The sequence below is a fragment of the Homo sapiens genome, chromosome 5 (genome assembly GCF_000001405.40).
Source record: "Homo sapiens chromosome 5, GRCh38.p14 Primary Assembly".
Taxonomy (NCBI): Eukaryota; Metazoa; Chordata; class Mammalia; order Primates; family Hominidae; genus Homo; species Homo sapiens.
In genome coordinates this window covers 139317416-139335976 of record NC_000005.10, presented here as the reverse complement: position 1 = coordinate 139335976, position 18561 = coordinate 139317416, and the positions used below count along the sequence as shown (strand labels likewise).

The window sequence follows — 18561 nt, the reverse complement described above, 5'->3', positions numbered from 1 at the left end:
AGTTCGAGGCTGCAGTGAACTATGATTGTGTCATTCATTGCCAGACCCCATCTCAAAGAAAAAAAAAAAAAAAGGCAGGAAGTCAATATAAGTAGAGTTGGTAGTTACGAAAGTAGCTGGGATCTAATTGCTCTGTGATGTTTCGAATTTTCCTATTATGTACGAAAACAAACTCTTCCATTTAAATCTCAAAAGCCAAATGGCCAATGAGAAGCCGCTACTTCTGATTTAACAACCCTGTCAAAGTTGAGCCAACTGAAATTGGTCCTGTTTTTGATAGGCAGGGGCAAGGAGTGAAACTTGAAAAGCATTTTGTCCTAATCAAAGACAGGACTCCTGCTGCTCTTTGTGTATACCCTTTTGGATCAGGTCCTTAGAAGAAACTCCTCATAGGCTGGGCGCAGTGGCTCACACCTGTAATCCCAGCACTTTGGGAGGCTGAGGGGGGTGGATCACGAAGTCAGGAGATCGAGACCATCCTGGCTAACACGGTGAAATCCTGTCTCTACTAAAAATACAAAAAATTAGCCAGACGAGGTGGTGGGCCCCTGTAAGTCCCAGCTACTCAGGAGGCTGAGGCAGGAGAATAGCGTGAACCCGGGAGGCGGAGCTTGCAGTGAGCCGAGATCGCGCCACTGCACTCCAGCCTGGGCAACAGAGCGAGACTCTGTCTCAAAAAAAAAAAAAAAAAAAAAAACTCCTCATAAATATTACCATGTATGAAGCATATCATTGTTCAAAGAAAGGTCATTAATCCTGTACCGAATACCAGGTACTTCCAACCCAAGTATACAAATCCTGCTGAAGTGAGATGTTTATTGACTTTTGTGTACTACACTCAATAGACTACCCCCTTCCTTAAAAGCGTTTAGTCTTTTCACCAATTTTCATATCCCCAATTATATATTTGACTTTAGAGTTCTTAAAATTGTATGGAAATAACTTTTTTTTTTTTTGAGCTGGAGTCTCAGTCTGTCGCCGAGGAAGGAGTGCAGTGGCGCTATCTCCGCTCACTACAACCTCTGCCTCCGGGGTTCAAGCGATTCTCCTGCCTCAGTCTCCTAAGTAGCTGGGATTACAGTCCCCTACCACCATGCCCGACTAATTTTTGTATTTTTAGTAAAGACGGGGTTTCACCATGTTGGCCAGGCTGGTCTCAAACTCCTGACCTGTGTGATCCGCCCGCCTCAGCCTCCCAAAAGTGCTGGGATTACAGGCCTGAGCCACTGTGCTGGGTGTGAAATTACAACTAAGGCTAGAATTAACAATTCAGAGGCCAGGAGTGGTGGCTCACACCTGTTATCCCAACACTTTGGGAAACCCAGGTGGGTGGATTACTTGAGTCCAGGAGTTTGAGAGACTAGCCTGGGCAATATGGCAAAACCCCTCTACAAAAAATACAAAAATTAGCTGGGTGTGGTGGCATGCACTTGTAGCCCCAGCTACTGTGGAGACTGAGATGTGGGAATCACCTGAGCCTGGGGAGGTGGAGGTTGCAGTGAGCCATGATCACACCACAGCACTCCAACCTGGATGACAGAGTGAGACCCTGTCTCAACAACAAAAAACAAGAAAACTTCAAAGGCAGGACACGACCAAAAACTTTTAAGGACAAATCCTTTAAAATTAACATAATTGTGGTGGGCACAGTGGCTCACATCTGTAATCCCAGCACTTTGGGAGGCTGAGGCCACGATCGCCTGAGGTCAGGAGTTCAAGACTAGCCTGGCCAACATAGTGAAGCCCTGTCTCTACCTGTAATCCCAGCTACTCAGGAGGCTGAGAATAGCCTGAACCCAGGAAACAGAGGTTGTAGTGAGCCGAGACCACACCATTGCATTCCAGCCTGGGCAACAACAGCAAAACCATGTCTCAAAAAAATAAAAAATATAATTGATTCTCTTCAAAATTAATCATGTTACTTCTTGACTGTTCTCATCAAGAATTTTTTCAACTAACCTCCATAGGGAGTTATTTTGACAAAACTCAAGTTTCAGACTGCTATTACCCAATTACTAGTGCTTTAACTGAGATCCATCAGCAAGTTAGATCTGCCAGTGACAGAATTAACCATTTCCATTTTTCCATTCACATTAAATTTCAACAAACTACCTGTTATCAAGCATCATCATTAGCTCCTATGTAGCGCTTGAGGGGTGCAAAATTAAGGAAAAACAAAAAGATACAAACCACTTGGCCAGGCAAAATGGCAAATTCCTGTTGTAGTTCTATTCCACTAACATGCCTTGCAATTTCTTACCACATACCCAACAAAATTACAAAACTTTATGTTTGGCAAAAAAATGAAGGATAACAGTATCTACGGCTCTGAAAGAGGTTGTCTCCCATAAATGATTTTTTTTTTAAAAAAGGTGACTAATTTTGCATTTTAAACGCTTTAAAAAGGGTAGCAAAATCAGTACCTCAGGCAATAGTAACCAAGCCAGGTAGGATCTGGTTACGAACACCTACCACCAACACATCTTCAGTTATAGGTAAAAGTTCTCAAAGCTTGATGTCACTGACATTTCCATCACCTGGAAACTTGTTAAAAATGCAAATCAGGCCGGGTGCGGTGGCTCACCTGGGAACCGAGTGGGAGGCCGAGGGAAGATTGAGGTCAAGAGTTAGAGACCAGCCTGGCCAACGTGGTGAAACCCTCTCTACTAAAAATACAAAAATTGATTTGGCTGATCTGGCTGGCTAAACCGGTGTCCCCTTACTCCCTCAATGCTCCAAGTGTGTCCCTCCCGACCCTCCCGAAGCTGTGCAGTGTGTCGAAGAGGACAACCATCACCAATAGAGGACCGGTCTTCCTTTAAGGGTATATGTGTAGCTGGGTTTCCATTAAAACCTCCAATCTCTCAAAAATGCAAATTATCAGTACTCATCCCAAACTTAGGAAATTAGAAAACCTGGCAGGGAGCCAGCAATGCTTTAACCTGTAGGTAATTTTGATGTATGCAAACATTTGAAAACAATTTGTTTTTGAGAGTGTCTCGCTCTGTCACCCAGGCTGGAGGGCAGTGGCACCATCTCGGCTCACCGCAAGCTTCACCTCCTGGGTTCACACCATTCTCCTGCCTCAGCCTCCCAAGTAGCTGGGACTACAGGGCCCCGCCACCATGCCGGGCTAATTTTTTGTATTTTTAGTAGAGATGAGGTTTCACCATGTTAGCCAGGATGGTCTCGATCTCCTGACCTCATGATCCGCCCGCCCCGGCCTCCCAAAGTGCTGGGATTATAGGCGTGAGCCACCGTGCCTGGCTGAAAACAATTCATTTTAAAGGAAAATAATTCCTGTAACTATTTATTTGTGCACCACTGTTGATTTTTAGAATCTTGACCTTATCATCTAATGGCCAAAGTGGGAGAGTAATTCAAACCCAGCTAGCTCAACAATGAGGTCAGGGTATAAAACAACCTCAAACTCATTAAACACAGAATACCCAGGCTTTCAGCTACACTAAACTTTATTTATGATGGAAGGCAACCAACAGACTATACTCAGAGCTGCTTCTGTCCTAGTGCAAGTTATCTTAAACAGCCCATATGCTGCTCTGCAGTGTCCCAGCAGATTTCTATTACATACCATGAGCTGCTTTTGTCACAATCTTAAGGCTGAAAAAAAATCCACTGTGAACAAAGCTAAAGTAAACAATTTCAGTACACTCTTCTCCCTGTATAACCTTACTACATGCCACAACATTCAATAGTTTACTATTTCCTTTTCCAGTCCCCATCACCTTAAAAAAAGGTGGCAGGGGAACCTGTCCTTAGCGAATTCAAATAATGGCTATTCCTAAAAAGCTCCTCAGGATGTTACCACTTAAAATCACTGGAGGGACTGGGTGTGGTGGCTCATGCCTGTAATCCCAAAACTTTGGGAGGCCAGGTAGATTACTTGAGGTCAGGAGTTTGAGCCCAGCCTGGTCAACATGGTGAAACCCCGCCTCTACTAAGAAAAATTAGCTGGGCATGGCAGTTATGCACCTGTAGTCCCAGCTACCTGGGAGGCTGAGGCAGGAGAATTCAGCCAACATCATTCCACTGCACTCCAGCCTGGGCGACACAGTCTCAAAAAAAAAAATAAATAATAATAAATAAATAAATCTCTAGAGGTACTGATGCACACACACTATGGTTGGAAATTCATATTCTTGAATAACATTTCAAATGAACTTATTTTTGGAATACTCAAAGCAATATTACAGCTATCCAATTAAAGTCTTATAAAGGACACTCTCAGATCCCAAATTTACTAGCAATCGGTCAATAAAAAAGAACTGTAAAACAAACTCAAGGTACTTCTAGAAGTTTCATTCACTTTTGTAGGATAATGTAAGATTAAACTAAGGGCTGACATAGCCGTAGGAAAAATGTTCTTAAACTTTACAGCAAACATGAGTGGAAACATTCCTACTAAAAAGAGGTTTTCTCGTAATCGAAGGGCTGTTACAGATTTATCACTAACAGCTTATTATAATTTCTGATTTCTAAATGCTCTCAAATGTAGGTATTAAAAACATAGCATTCTTTCCTTCAACTTGCTAAATCCAACAAAGTTGAAGCTATGAAAAAGCCATCACTGAAAGGAAACACTGAAGAACTCCATTGTGCACATAATGCTTTATGTACCTGCTGTTAAAAATTGGAATTAAACAGAAGTGGGTAATTAGTAAAGGCTAAAATTAAATTGCAGAAGTAAACTGGCAAGGATTTTTTGTGCATGTCACATTAAAATCATCACCTACTTTTCAACGGGAGAGATCATAAAATTTAGCCAACTATTTGAAGTATCCTTTAATAAACTGGGGTCTGAACATTTGAAAGACAATGCCTATCCTGTTTTTGTAGATTTTTTTGAAATTAAAACTTTGTTTCTTGGCCAGGGATGGTGGCTCATGCCTACAGTCCCAGCACTTTGGGAGGCTGAAGCGAGCAGATCACTTGGGCCCAGGAATTCAAGATCAACCTGGGCAACATGGCAAAGCCCCATCTATACAAAAAAACCAAAAACTAGCCAGGTATAGTGGCATGAGCCTGTAGTCCCAGCTACTCAGGAGACTGAGGTAGGAGGGTCATTTGAGCCCAAAGGCTGAGGTTGCAGAGAACTGTGCCACTGCACTCCAGTCTGGGTGACAGAGTGAGACCCTGTGTCAGGGAAGAAAAAAAAATTGTTTACAACAGATAATCCAATATACCAAGAGTCTCTACGTAATTATTTTGAAAAGCTGCAGAACTAATTCTTGCTCATCCGTATTACTTCCAATTGTACTGTTAAGTCATCAATATCTCTAAACATAAGCTTCTGTTTGTTCACCTGTAGCATTTTTAATTCATAAGGTTTTTAAAAACCACAAATGGCCTCACTTTTAGTTATGTAACAGGAACAAGAAATCCACCAGCAACAACATTTTTAAAACTCAGATCTTTAGCGGCAGTCTTTAGAATTCACTCTAGATTTAAAAGTAATAAATTGTTAAAGCATGCACAAAGTTTAAGAGCGAATAAAAACCACAACTGACAAATACGTTGGTTAACATTCCAAACATGTATAACCAATTAACATGGCCTAGGGTTTTCTTTTTATTGGTATTCACTTCAGTAACTTGAATCCACAGATATAAGCAGTATATAACCAGAAAGTTACAAGTAAACACAAATTATACATGCAAATTTCTGTTCACAAAGGTCACATGTGCAGGTACATGAATTAGAAGCGTGCATCTAGGATTATGGCCAAACTGTTTTAAAAATGCAGAAATGTAAAATTACATCTTGAAAATATGAAGAGATGGTCTACACACTTCAAAAATCAAATGTTGCTTATACCAGAGATGTATGACAATCACGGGATTCAAGTGACAAGCAGTAAGATCTCAAAAATTAATACTGGTCAAAGATAACGGGAATATTTTTGCATTTCACTGAAAATACATTGACTACTAGAATACGAAATCTAGCAGGAACTCAGGGAAAAAAATTACAAAATCTAAAGCCAATTACTTAATATTTCTTATTACCTAAACAACAGCATGACATTAACAGAAAACTGCACCTGCATTTCAATTGCCAATCTCACGTTAATTAAGTTCTCCAAAAATGAAATGCAACCAAAACGGGTTCAAACTCCAAATGAAAGTCTGCAAGGCTCAGATTAAAACATGGAATGTTTCAGATGAAAGTAATAAAAACACTATTGGTTTTGTTCTTTATTGAATGGAATAAAATGTTGACATTTCTTTGAAACTTGGAACTACTAAATTTCATTTTTCCAAATGGTTCTACATTTTTTTCTTAGTGGTGCAAGTTGTCTTAAGTAGCTTAGGAAGTCAATCTCTACAAAGTACTTCTGTCTGTTGCCATTCTGATAAAACAAAAACTATTCATTAACTTAACCATATGTGTATTTTTTTTGCTATAACACTTAACACATGAACAGACATCTATTATTTCTCCACTAAAACAAAAGAGTACAATAGTTTTCTTCTAACTATCAGTATTGTATTTAAAAAAGGTTAACATTAAAAACAAAGAACCATTATTTTCTTTGAAATCATTAAATCTCCTTGCACATCTTAAGTTTCCTTCTTCTGTCTGCGTTCTTCTGCCAATTTATTCAGAAATTTCTATAAAGAAAGAGAATTACAGCCATTAAGTCACCTAAGAGAAATGCAGCAAAATGGATTAATTCCAAAATCAAATATCCTATATCCAAGTTTAGGGACTTAAACTATAATTTTGTCAATATTTTCAACAATTAGTTAATCCTCATTAGCACACAAAAACTTTCAGGACATTACAATAAGGCACGGGGAAAAAATGGTAAAAGGTATAAAATGGGTATTTCAAATGTTATAATTAACCCTAATTTTTAGAGATGAGAAAACAAAGACCACAGTCACACTGAACTGACACTATTCAAGAACTATGGGTTTAAATGACATGCACTTTTATTCTTTTTTTTTTGAGGGAGAGTTTTGCTCTGTTGCCCAGGCTGGAGTGCAGTGTCGTGATCTCGGCTAACTGCAACCTCCACCTCCCAGGTTCAAGTGATTCTCCTGCCTCAGCCTCCCAAGCAGCTGGGATTACAGGCACCCGCCACCAAGCCCAGTTAATTTTTTTGTACTTTTGGTAGAGACGGGGTTTTCACCGTGTTGGCCAGGCTGGTCTCAAACTCCTGATCTCAGGTGATCTGCCTGTCCCCGCCTCCCAAAGTGCTGGGATTACAGGCAAGAGCTATCACATCTGGCCTCAATGCACTACTCATTAAATCACCTGAACAAACATTTTCTTGCAAGGCCAGCAGTAAATATTTTAGACTCATTGGGCCATTCAGTCTTTGTTACAACTACTCAATCCTGCACTCAATTATAAACTAAAACAACTATAGATGACACTTAAATGATTATGGCTGTGGGTTCTAATAAAACCTTACAAAAACAGATGACTGAGCCACGAGTGTAGCTTGCTGACCCCTGCCATTAAACCTGTGACTGCTAGAGTTTCTAGACACGGGAGCTCCATTAAGACACTAATGAAAGTACAAAAGACATATTAAAAAATCTAACCTAAAATGTCCAAAGCTTCTTTCCATCTCATTGGAATTTCAACTTTATATAGTTAATGCAAAATAGTAAGAATTAAAAGCCATTATATCTTTTAAAGAAAAACAACAACAACAAAAAATCACCCCACAAACATCCAGTTAGGAAAGTATCAATTTACCATTAGCAAGTTACTGTAATGCTTAACAGTTTCTTGATGAAGGTGACAAAGTTTTTTTTTTTTTTTTAATAAAAGGAAATAATAGGCCGGGCATGATGGCTCACGCCTGTAATCCCAGCACTTTGGGAGGCTGAGGCAGGCGATCACCTGAGGTCAGAAGTTCAAGACCAGCCTGGCTAACATGGTGAAACCCCGTTTCTACTAAAAATACAAAAAATTAGCCAGGCGAAGTGGCACACGCCTGTAATACCAGCTACTCGGGAGCCTGAGGCAGGAGAATTGCTTGAACCCGGGACGCAGAGGTTGCAGTGAGCTGAGATTGTGCCATTGCACTCCAGCTTGGGGAACAAGAGCAAAATTCTGTCTCAAATAAAAAAAAAATAAATAAAATATAAGGAAATAATAAAAGGAGCCACAAGAAGCACCTAGCAATCTTTTATATTATTTCCATATTCTTCTCGACAATACATATAGTTTTTGACCCCAAACAGCTTAAAATCAAAGCAGATAAAAATATTTGTACCAGGGCGGGCACTATGGCTCAGGCCTGTAATCCCAGCATTTTGGGAGGCTGAGGTGGGAGGATCATCTGAAGCTGGGAGTTCAAGACCAGTCTGACCAACATGGAGAAACCCCATTTCCACTAAAAATACAAAATTAGCTGGGCATGGTGGCGCATGCCTGTAATCCCAGATACTCAGGAGGCTGAGGCAAGAGAATGGCTTGAACCTGGGAGGCGGGGGTTGGGGTGAGCCAAAATCGCGCCATTGCACTTCAGCCTTGGGCAACAAGAGCAAAACTGTCTCAAAAAAATAAAATAAAATAATTTGTACTACATTGCTGCTACCATTGCAAATAGCCACAATTCTTTCTTCATATACAGGATGGTAAAAGACATATAGGTGGCAAAGAGCAGTTACATTTAAAAAAAAAAAAAAAAACAGAAGTGACACACAGCCAAGAACTTGAATTATTTCCAAAATTAAAGATTACATTCATCCATTTAGTCAACAGAGAACATATCTAATGACTGAGTAACTATAGTTAACTTATTATAAAGCAGTGTGAAAAACCAAGGTATCTATAATTGACTTGTTTAGCAACTACTTTTAAGTTTCAGTCACTATTTCAATAGGTAGTCCAAAGAAGCTGATAATTACAAAAACAAATTTCAATATATCTCAATAGGAATTATTCTTTAGTGATGTTGTGGTTTATGTATTTATGCTTTTGATCTTTATATACTTTTGGTCATAAAAATAACTGAAGTGTCAATAATAATGTCAATATTAAAAATTATTTTAATATGAATGGTCATGCCACTTTTAGTATTCAGACTCCCAGCATCTTTCAAATTAGAGAAAGTACAGCCCAACAACAATCTGAGAATACTTGAATAAGTTTAATTCTACCACAGAATTTATAATATGGTTAGAAAACACTAAATTGTTATGTAGCAAGGGTAAACTATGACAAGAGGTTCAACAGATGTTTTGATAACCCATCAATAAAGAAAGAAAAGGCCAGGCGCGGTGGCTCATGCCTGTAATCCCAGCACTTTGGGAGGCTGAGGTGGGTGGATCACCTGAGGTCAGGAGTTCAAGACCAGCCAGGCTAGCCAACATGGTGAAACCCCATTTCTACTAAAAATACAAAAATTAGCTGGGTGTGGTGGTGCATGCCTGTAATCTCAGCTACTTGGGAGGCTGAGGCAGGAAAATTGCTTGAACCCAGGAGGTAGAGGTTGCAGTGAGCCAAGATTGCACCATTGCAATCCAACCTGGGCAACAAGAGAGAAACTGTCTTTAAAAAAAAAAAAAAAAGTAAATAAAAAGTTATCTTCAGGAGAAAGCACTGCACTGAGTCTAGAGAGAACACTATACACATTTTACTTATATACCCCACTTATTTCCATAACTTGTTAAGTTTTCACAAAAGAACTGTTTTACATTCAACCTTACCTTTAATTTCTGATAATGAGGAAGGCTGCTGCAATGAGTATTCTTTGCAACTTCTTCATTTGTATAAAAGAGTGAACACAGCTTACAGTAAAACCCTGTTTTAGGTATCACATAGTCTATACCTAGAAATACAAACATACATTCTTACAAATTAAACTGAAGATTTTATTTAGTATTCACAATTTCACCTGTCAACATAATTTAAATGAAACAACATGTTTTTGAGAAGTCCAATACAGCCTAAGATAAAAAACAAAAACCGAACCATATTTTGCTTTTACCTAATTGATGTTTGAGGTCTCACCTAACTGTATTCTTAAAAAAAGAAATATAATACAGAAAAACAACACAGAAAAGCAAAACAAAAGCGTGTAACTTGCAAGAAATTTTACGAAAAAAGGGAACACATTGTGGAATAACAACAGAAAATAATACAAAATCAGAGACATGCATGAGAGGAAAATATATCAATTAAGATTTATAAATTGTTCCCCATAGAAACAAAGCAAATTTAAAATGCTATCACAGCTTATGTAAGACCAACTTTAAAATCTTATTTTAAAACCTAAGAGTTTGTTTTGAGGAGAGTGAGGAAGGTGAAGAACAAAGACTTAAATCTCACCAACAGGAACATTGGGCTGATATGGTCCAATTCTATACTCATCTGGGATTGTATAGTCGTCCTTGTTCTCATCACTTTGACCATCTGCGTTTTCACTTGTATCTTTGTTGGGATCATCAGCGTTCTCAGAAGATTCAGCACCTGGTTCTGTGTTTTCCTCATTTTTAATTCCATTTTCCAACGCTGCTTCGTTTTCTTGATCAAGTTCCTCGATCTTGTCCACCTTAATTTCAACCAAACCATCATCATTTTTGTCACCAGATTTAAATGCCATGCCCGATTTACGAAGTTTCTGAAGTTCCGAATCTTCCTCATCACCAACCTCATCTAGAGTGACAAAACCTTCCATACTCCCTGGAAAACGACGCTGTTAAGAAAGACAAATTTACTCTGCAACAATTATCCTGCAGCATCCCTTCTGTCTGCTTTACTTGAAGGGAAACGGATAGCGTCTTTGCCTTTTTTTTTTTGAGACGGAGTCTTGCTCTGTCGACCAGGCTGGGGTGCAGTGGCGCGATCTCGGCTCACTGCAACCTCCGCCTCCCTGGTTCACGCCATTCTCCTGCCTCAGCCTCCCGAGTAGCTGGGACTACAGGCGCACGCCACCACGCCCGGCTAATTTTTTTTGTAATTTTAGTAGAGACGGGGTTTCACTGTGTTAGCCAGGATGGTCTCGATCTCCTGACCTCGTGATCCACCCACCTCGGCCTCCCAAAGTGCTAGGATTACAGGCGTGAGCCACCGTGCCCGGCCGCGTCTTTGTCTTTATTCATTGGCTCAAAATAGTAACTTCTTCCTTTCTTCCAAAAAATTACTGATAATTTGAAAAATAATTTAGCTTATTTTAAAACTAAAAAATGGAAGGTCTGCCTCACACAAAGAGCAGAAGTTAAATGAGATAGGAATATTCATATTTTATCTTTTCTGAGACTACAATGCTGCTAGGCAATGTGTAAAAAACTTGATTTGGTAAAAGTTGAGCAATATCCTTTGTAAGACAGTATACTGCAAATACCTACTCTTTAGAGCAAATACTCAAACAGTGTAATGGCTAAAAAACCAAGCTCTGGGCCAGGCATGGTGGCTCACACCTGTAATTCCAGCACTTTGGGAGGCTGAGGTGGGCGGATCACCCTGAGATCTCAGGAGTTCAATACCAGCCAGGCCAACATGGCGAAACCTCGTTTCTACTAAAAATACAAGAATTAGCCTCGTGTGGTGGTGGACACCTGTAATCCCAGCTACTTGGGAGGCTGAGGCAGCAGAACTTGAACCTGGGAGGTGGAGGTTGCAGTTAGCTGAGATCACACCACCGCACTCCAGCCTGGGCAACAGAGCAAGACTCCGTCTCCAAAAAAAAAAAAAAAAAAAACAATCATGCTCTGAAGAATGACTGCCCAAGTTTAAATTTTGGCTCTGTGTCTTATAAGCAGTATGGGATTATTTAACTTCTCCATATTTCAATTTTCCTCATTTATGGACTGGAGATCACAGTATGAGATGCATATGGTTACTGTGAGGATTAAATTAATAAATTTAAACTTAGAAAAACGTATGGCATTAAATGCCATAAACATCAGTAATTATTAGCATTTACAAATGTAAACATAATGATCAGCTCTAGTGAGAAAAATTAATGAAGTTATTTGACCAAGCCATCAAATAAAAACTGAGGTAAATATTGGTTTTGAGTTGAATGTTGCATAAAAGGAACCAATGGAATATGGAATAGGATGGCAAAAATCTCATTTCGCTCTACTTTTTTTTTTTCTTGAGACAGTCTTGCTCTTGTCACCCAGGCTGGAGTACAGTGATGTGATCTTGGCTAACTGCAACTTCTGCCTCCCAGATTCAAGCAATTCTCCTGTCTCAGCCTTCCAAGTAGCTGCTACAGGTATGTGCCACCACGCCCGGCTAATTTTCATATTTTTAGTAGAGACGGGGTTTCACCATGTTGGTCTTGAACTCCTGGCCTCAACTGATCTGCTGGGCCTCCCAAAGTGCTGGGATTACAGGCGTGAGCCACTGGGCCCGCCTGACTCCGACATTTTATGAGCCATTTAACATAAAAAGTTTGCCTCAAAGGCATTTTAATGCCCTACTCCTTAAGCTAGGCAGTCAGCTCAATGTGGGTCCTTTGTTTACTCTTCTTTATAGCATGTGTGTATTTTTATATTTATATTCACTTTATACATGGCTTCTAAATGACTTACTTGTTCAAATAAAATTGTTTTAAAGGATACTAAGGTATCTGACCAGGCCAACATTTCTCAAATAGGAAAAATTATTCAATAATTTTTGAATGAGTGGCAAAAGTTTTAACTATGTTGGGTCAGTTAACTTACTGCAAACTCACGTCCTGTATTTTTTTTTTCAAAGCTACACTATAAGGCTGCCTACCTATATGCTACCACTACACCACTACAATACAGAAGCACATATATTTTGAGTCTTTCTCCCTCATTTTTACTGAAAAGTTTCCTCTTTGAGCTGATGTTTTTTGCCAACTATAATAAAATGTCTTATTTAATTATTTATTGCAGAGTTTAGATTTAAATGTTTATATTCTGGTTCATATCTGATTTATTTTCTGATTTAAATCATATAATTCTATCTGATCCTGCTTAGGTAAATAACTTGAAATACTGATCTGATCTAATGTTCTATTAAAACAAATCAATGTATCTTTCTTTACCTTTTTAAGCTTTTTCTTTGCTGCTGCTGAAGCACTTCCATCTTTTTTCACAGCTTTATCTGATGGTTCCTTTTTCCCATCAGAAGCCACATCACCTAAATTAGCAAGATCGGTCTCGTCTCCCACTGAACTGCCACTTTCTAGCAGTGCTGCTGCTTCTTCTTCATCTACAAGTAGCTCATCTTCAGATTCAAGAAGCATATTAGGTTCCTGCTCTGTCTGGTCATCCTTTGTGTCTTTCTCACCATCTTCACCGGACTTCTCTTCTTGTTCTTTACCTTCGGTTGAACTCTCAGTCTTCTGGGAACCATCAGTTTTGGATTTCTTATCACTTGGAGATTCTTTGCCATCTGGAGAGTAAGATCTTTTTCTGAAATCAAAAGGACACACCACAATTAATTTGTTGTCTGAAAAAGTAAAGTTGAATATACTCACACATATGAAAAACAAAATGAAATTACCGGGATTTATCTTTTTTCAGTAAATCAATGCCTCTGTTTGGAATCTAAAAGACAAAAGTTTTGCAGAAGTTAACACATTTGCAGAATACACAATTATCCAGTGAATTAATAATTGGAGACAATCCCTATAATCAACTCAGCTTATTCAATTCCCGTAACCTTATTTGAGAACCTAAGCTGCCTACAGACATTCATCATGACCATACCAACAGAGAAGTGGAAAATAAAACATTCTGGTAGCAGAACGCTATGAAAAACTTAAACAGATAAGAGCAATGAAGGTGTCCTTTAGGGAAGACTCGTTTAAAAACTTCTGCCATTAAAGACCAGAAAAAAAGGTTGTTCTCTTTCAATAACTTATTTCAATAGGTTTCAATAATCCTGTATTTTTAGCATACAAAAATGTTTAAAAGAATGTTGTGGCTTTAAATATGTAAAAACAAGCTGTTAAATGATGACAAATCAAATACTACATACCCTCAGAACCAGTTTTTTATATTTCTCAGACAGGTCAACCTTCACACATCTCCCCTGAAACCAAAGGGCTTTTTTCAAACAATGGTCAACCATTGCCATTGCATCTTCTCTTGTCTCCATCTCAATAAAAGCCTTAAAAAGAAAGAAAAGAAACCACAAAGCACATTATATTTTACAAAATTGTATAAAACCTTATTATGTATTCTACCTACTGGTTAGAAAATTTTCATTACTTTTTTTCTTTTTTGAGACAGGGTCTCACTGTGTCACCCAGGCTGGAATGCAGTGGCGCAATCCTGGCTTGCTGAAGCGTTGATGTACTGGGCCCAACTGATCCTCCCACCTTAGCCCCCCAGTAGCTAGGTCTACAGGCATGCACCACCAATGCCTGGCTAATTTTTGTATTTTTTGTAGAGGTGCAGTTTCGCCATGTTGCCTAGACTGGTCTCGGGCTCCTGGACTCAGGCAATCCTCCTGCTTTGGCCTCACAAAGTGCTGGGATTACAGGTGACAGCAACCACACCCGGCTAAAAATTTTAATCTTTAGCACAGAGTTAAAAATTCACTGAATATCAGGGCTGGGCGCAGTGGCTCACACCTGTAATCCCAACACTTTGGGAGGCCAAGGCGGGTGGCTCACCTGAGGTCAGGAATTCCGAGAACAGCCTGACCAGTATGGTGAAACCCCATCTCTACTACAAATGCAAAAATCAGCTGGGCCTGGTGGAGTGTGCCTACTGTAGTACCAGCTACTTGGAAGGCTGACATAGGAGAACTGCTTGAACCCAGGAGGCGGAGTTTATAGCAAGCCAAGATGGCACCACTGCACTCTAGACTGGGCGACAGAGCAAGACTCCATCTCAGAAAAAACCAAAAACCAAAAAACCAACCTGTCAGATTTACAAAATCCCCAAGAATCACTTTAGTGCCAAATACTAAGCCATCTATATACACTCTGCAAAAAAGTAATAAGCTGGCTGGGCGCGGTGGCTCAGCCTGTAATCCCAGCACTTTGGGAGGCCGAGACGGGCGGATCACAAGGTCAGGGGATCGAGACCATCCTGTGGATGGTGAAACCCGTCTCTAGTAAAAATACAAAAAAAAAAAAAAAAAAATTAGCCAGGCGTGGTGGCGGGTGCCTGTGGTCCCAGCTACTGGGGAAGCTGAGGCAGGAGAATGCCATGAACCGGGGAGGCAGAACTTGCAGTAAGCTGAGATTGCACCACTGCACTACAGCCGGGGTGACAGAGCGAGACTCTGTCTCAAAAAAAAAAAAAAAAAAAAAAGTAATAAGCTTAAGATATTAAAATAGTGTAAGAAAAATAAAAGTCTGGAAGAACACAAACTTGCAATGCTGAATTACAGAAGTGTTTAAAACAAAAAAAGAAAAACAAAAAAGATGTTCTCCTCATCCTTATTTCCTTTTTGAGACAGGGTCTCACTCCACTGCCTATGCTGAAGTACAGTGGCACAATCATAGCCCACTACAAACCTTGGACTCCTGGGTTAAGTGTTCCACCTGACTTCAGACTCCCGTAGCTAAAACTGTACGAGCATGCCACTTTGCCTGGTTAAAAAAAATTTTTTTTTGTACAGATGTGGCCTCAATATGTTGTCAGGGCGGTCTCAAACTCCTGGGCAACTCTGGCCTCAGCCTCCCAATGTCTAGGGATTTACAGGCATGAGCCAATGCATCCAGCCTAACTCTAAATTTTTTTTTTTGAGATGGAGTCTTGCTCTGTCACCCAGGATGGGTGCAGTGGCACAATCTCGAGTCATTGCAAGCTCCGCCTCCCGGGTTCATGCCATTCTCCTGCCTCAGCCTCCCCAACAGCTGGGACAACAGGCGCACGCCACCACGCCCAGCTAATTTTTTTGTATTTTTAGGAGAGAGGGGGTTTCACTGTGTTAGCCAGGATGATCTCAATCTCCTGACCTCGTGATCTGCCTGCCTCCGCCTCCCAAAGTGCTGGGATTACAGGCGTGAGCCACTGCGACTGGCTAACTCTATATTTTTTAAATACAAGAAAAAAAAGTATGAAATATTAATTTTTGAGACCCTGTCTCAAAAAAAAAAAAAAGAAAAGAAAAGCAAACAACTAGTCCTCCAGATTTCATCACTAAAAATAGGGATATACTTTAAAAAAAAAAAAAAAAAAAAAAAAAAAAGCAAATTTTTTTTTTTGAGTTGGGAGTCTCGCTCTGCTGCCCAGGCTGGAGTGCAGTGGTGCAATCTCAGCTCACTGCAACCTCCGCCCCCTGCCAGTTAAGCAATTCTCCTGCCTCAGCCTCCCAAGTAGCTGGGATTACAGGCACATCACGCCTGGATAATTTTTGTATTTTTAATAGAGATACGATTTCACCATGCTGGCCAGGCTGGTCTCGAACTCCTGACCTCAGGTGATTTGCCTGCCTTGGCCTCCCAAACTGCTGGGATTACAGGTTGAGGAATGACGCCCAGCTCCATATTGAAAAATCTTAAGGATTTTAATAAATTATCTTCTCTAAAACTTCCTTATGTATATTACCTGACTTTTCATCCTCATCAATATGTAATTCTTTATTTTCCCATAAGGCTCAGCAAGCTTGAGAACAGCACTATCAGAATAGCCAGAATGCGGCAAATTGCTGAGATGTATCACACGTCCAAGCTCTTGCTTTTGATCAAACTTCTGATCTGGCTTTCCTTCAGGTTTCTTTAATAAATAACAACAACAAAAGGACAAATGTGCAATAATTATTAGTTAACAGTTAAAAACATCCTAGTCTTTACCAATTGTTTTATTTTTATAGAGACGAGGTCTTGCTATGTTGCCCAGGCTTGCCTGGAACTCCTGGGCCTCACATAATCCTTCTGACCTTGGCCTCCCAAGGTGCTGGGATTACAGGCGTGAGCCACCACACCTGGCCTTAGCAATAATTTGAAATAACCACAGTTAATAACTATTAAAATCATTTGTTAAACTGATATACAGCTTGAAAAAAATAAACATTACCTTTATTCTTTTATACTTCTGGGATAAATGAACTCTCACTGGCTTGCCAAATACTAACGCTGGTGTGGTTGTGTAATAATCCACTGCGGCCTGAGCATCCTCTGTGGTTGCCATTTCAATAAATGCCTGAAATTATACAAAAAGTTATTTCTCTGTTTTTTCCAATCAGCTTTCTCACATTGAACTAAAGATTTTTTTTCCTAAAAAATAACAATGCCCCAAATCTTTTCAGATATATTTAATCATTAAGTAGAAAATACTTTCAAGAATCAAAATACAAAACAAAAGAGGCTGGGCCCAGTATCTCATGCCTGTAATCCCAACACTTCGGGAGGCCGAGGCAGGCGGATCACGAGGTTGAAAGATCAAGACCATCCTGGCCGACCAACATGGTGAAACCCCGTCTCTACTAAAAATACAAAAATTAGCTGGGCGTAATGGTGGACGTCTGTAGTCCCAGCTACTTGGGAGGAGGCTGAGGCAGGAGAATGGCTTGAACCTGGGAGGTGGAGGCTGCAGTGAACCTCACTGCACTCCAGCCCAGGTGACAGAGTGACACTCAAACACAAAACAAAACAAAAACAAACGAACAAAAATGTTGGCCGGGTGTAATGGCCGACGCCTGTAATCCCAGCACTTTGGGAGGCCAAGGCGGGTGGATCACCTGAGGTCAGGACTTCGAGACCAGCCTGGCCAACATGGTGAAACCCCATCTCTACTAAAAATACAAAAATCAGCTGAGCATGATAGTGGGCGGCTGTAATCCCAGCTACTTGGGAGGCTGAGGTAGGAGAATCGCTTGAACACAGGAGGCGAAGGTTGCAGTGAGCTGAGATCGCGCCACTGCACTCCAGCCTGGGTGACAGAGCGAGACTCCGACTCCCAAAACAAAGAAACAAAAAAACCCCAAAAAACAGTGTTGCCAATTTGCTATTTTATTACAAAGGCCACCTCAGATTAATTTTCTACTGCATTACTTTATCATTTACTATGCCAATTGGACTAAAAATAATGACTTGAAACCATCATTTTGGTATAGATCTGAAATGGCTTTCCACAGAATTTTCCTTTTACAACTTTTATAGTAGTATAATGACAATTACTACCTAAGGATCATAATTTATAGTTACTAATAATCCATTAGTACCCTATTATATTCATCAACTACTGGCCTTTTCCTCTACTACATTCTGCATTTGATAAACTTAAGATTACCTTGAGTTTTATTTTTCTAATACAAAATCATTTAATTCTTGCAGAACATATATTAGTGGCATGAATAAATGAATAATACCAATATTTCAATTCATACCTCATTAATTTTATTTAGAATCAGATGATTTGAAATGACTCCAAATGGTTCTACCAGCTGTAATAGCTGGTATCTCAAGTTTTTCCCTCGTTGAAAATCCATGATGTGAACAACTCTGCTAGTTTCCTATCCATTAGGGGAAAAAAACCAAGCAATTAAGTCTCTTTAAAGCAATATGAAACCAATTACGCATTAGGACTTTTTATAATCTATAATTAACCAGGAGAGTGTAAGTAAAACAACTCATAACATTCTAGAGAATTTTAAAGCTACATATCAAACGTCACTGGGTAAGTTCTTTCTGAC

The 18561-nt window shown here is 39.8% G+C and overlaps 1 protein-coding gene and 1 pseudogene across 31 annotated transcripts in view, besides 1 other annotated feature; one reads left to right on the top strand and one right to left on the bottom strand.

Annotated features, from left to right (window-relative positions):
• On the top strand, nucleotides 2612-2939 carry RN7SKP64 (RN7SK pseudogene 64; annotated as a pseudogene).
• Nucleotides 4300-18561, bottom strand: part of MATR3 (matrin 3) — a 57577-nt gene continuing 43315 nt past the window's right edge. For 25 of the 31 annotated variants that reach the window (NM_001400451.1, NM_001400450.1, NM_001400455.1 and 22 more), the window contains 9 exons: nucleotides 18256-18381; nucleotides 16944-17069; nucleotides 16476-16643; nucleotides 13948-14079; nucleotides 13471-13514; nucleotides 13010-13379; nucleotides 10315-10537; nucleotides 9693-9814; nucleotides 4300-6632 (listed from right to left, as the gene is read on the bottom strand). In NM_001400451.1, coding sequence (NP_001387380.1) covers nucleotides 6582-6632; nucleotides 9693-9814; nucleotides 10315-10537; nucleotides 13010-13379; nucleotides 13471-13514; nucleotides 13948-14079; nucleotides 16476-16643; nucleotides 16944-17069; nucleotides 18256-18381 — 1362 coding nt within the window. In that variant the 3' untranslated portion in view covers nucleotides 4300-6581. Of the gene's footprint in view, nucleotides 6633-9692; nucleotides 9815-10314; nucleotides 10682-13009; nucleotides 13380-13470; nucleotides 13515-13947; nucleotides 14080-16475; nucleotides 16644-16943; nucleotides 17070-18255; nucleotides 18382-18561 lie in introns of all 31 variants that reach the window. The other 6 variants (NM_001400441.1, NM_001400444.1, NM_001400442.1 and 3 more) reach the window with 1 other exon arrangement.
• Nucleotides 12700-13899: an enhancer, noted in NCBI's record as "CDK7 strongly-dependent group 2 enhancer chr5:138657767-138658966 (GRCh37/hg19 assembly coordinates)". NCBI's record gives its function as "activates an origin of replication core promoter dependent on BRD2, BRD4, P300/CBP, MED14 and CDK7 cofactors, with strong dependence on CDK7, by STARR-seq in HCT116 cells {active_cell/tissue: HCT116}" and the evidence as "EXISTENCE:reporter gene assay evidence [ECO:0000049][PMID:35650434]".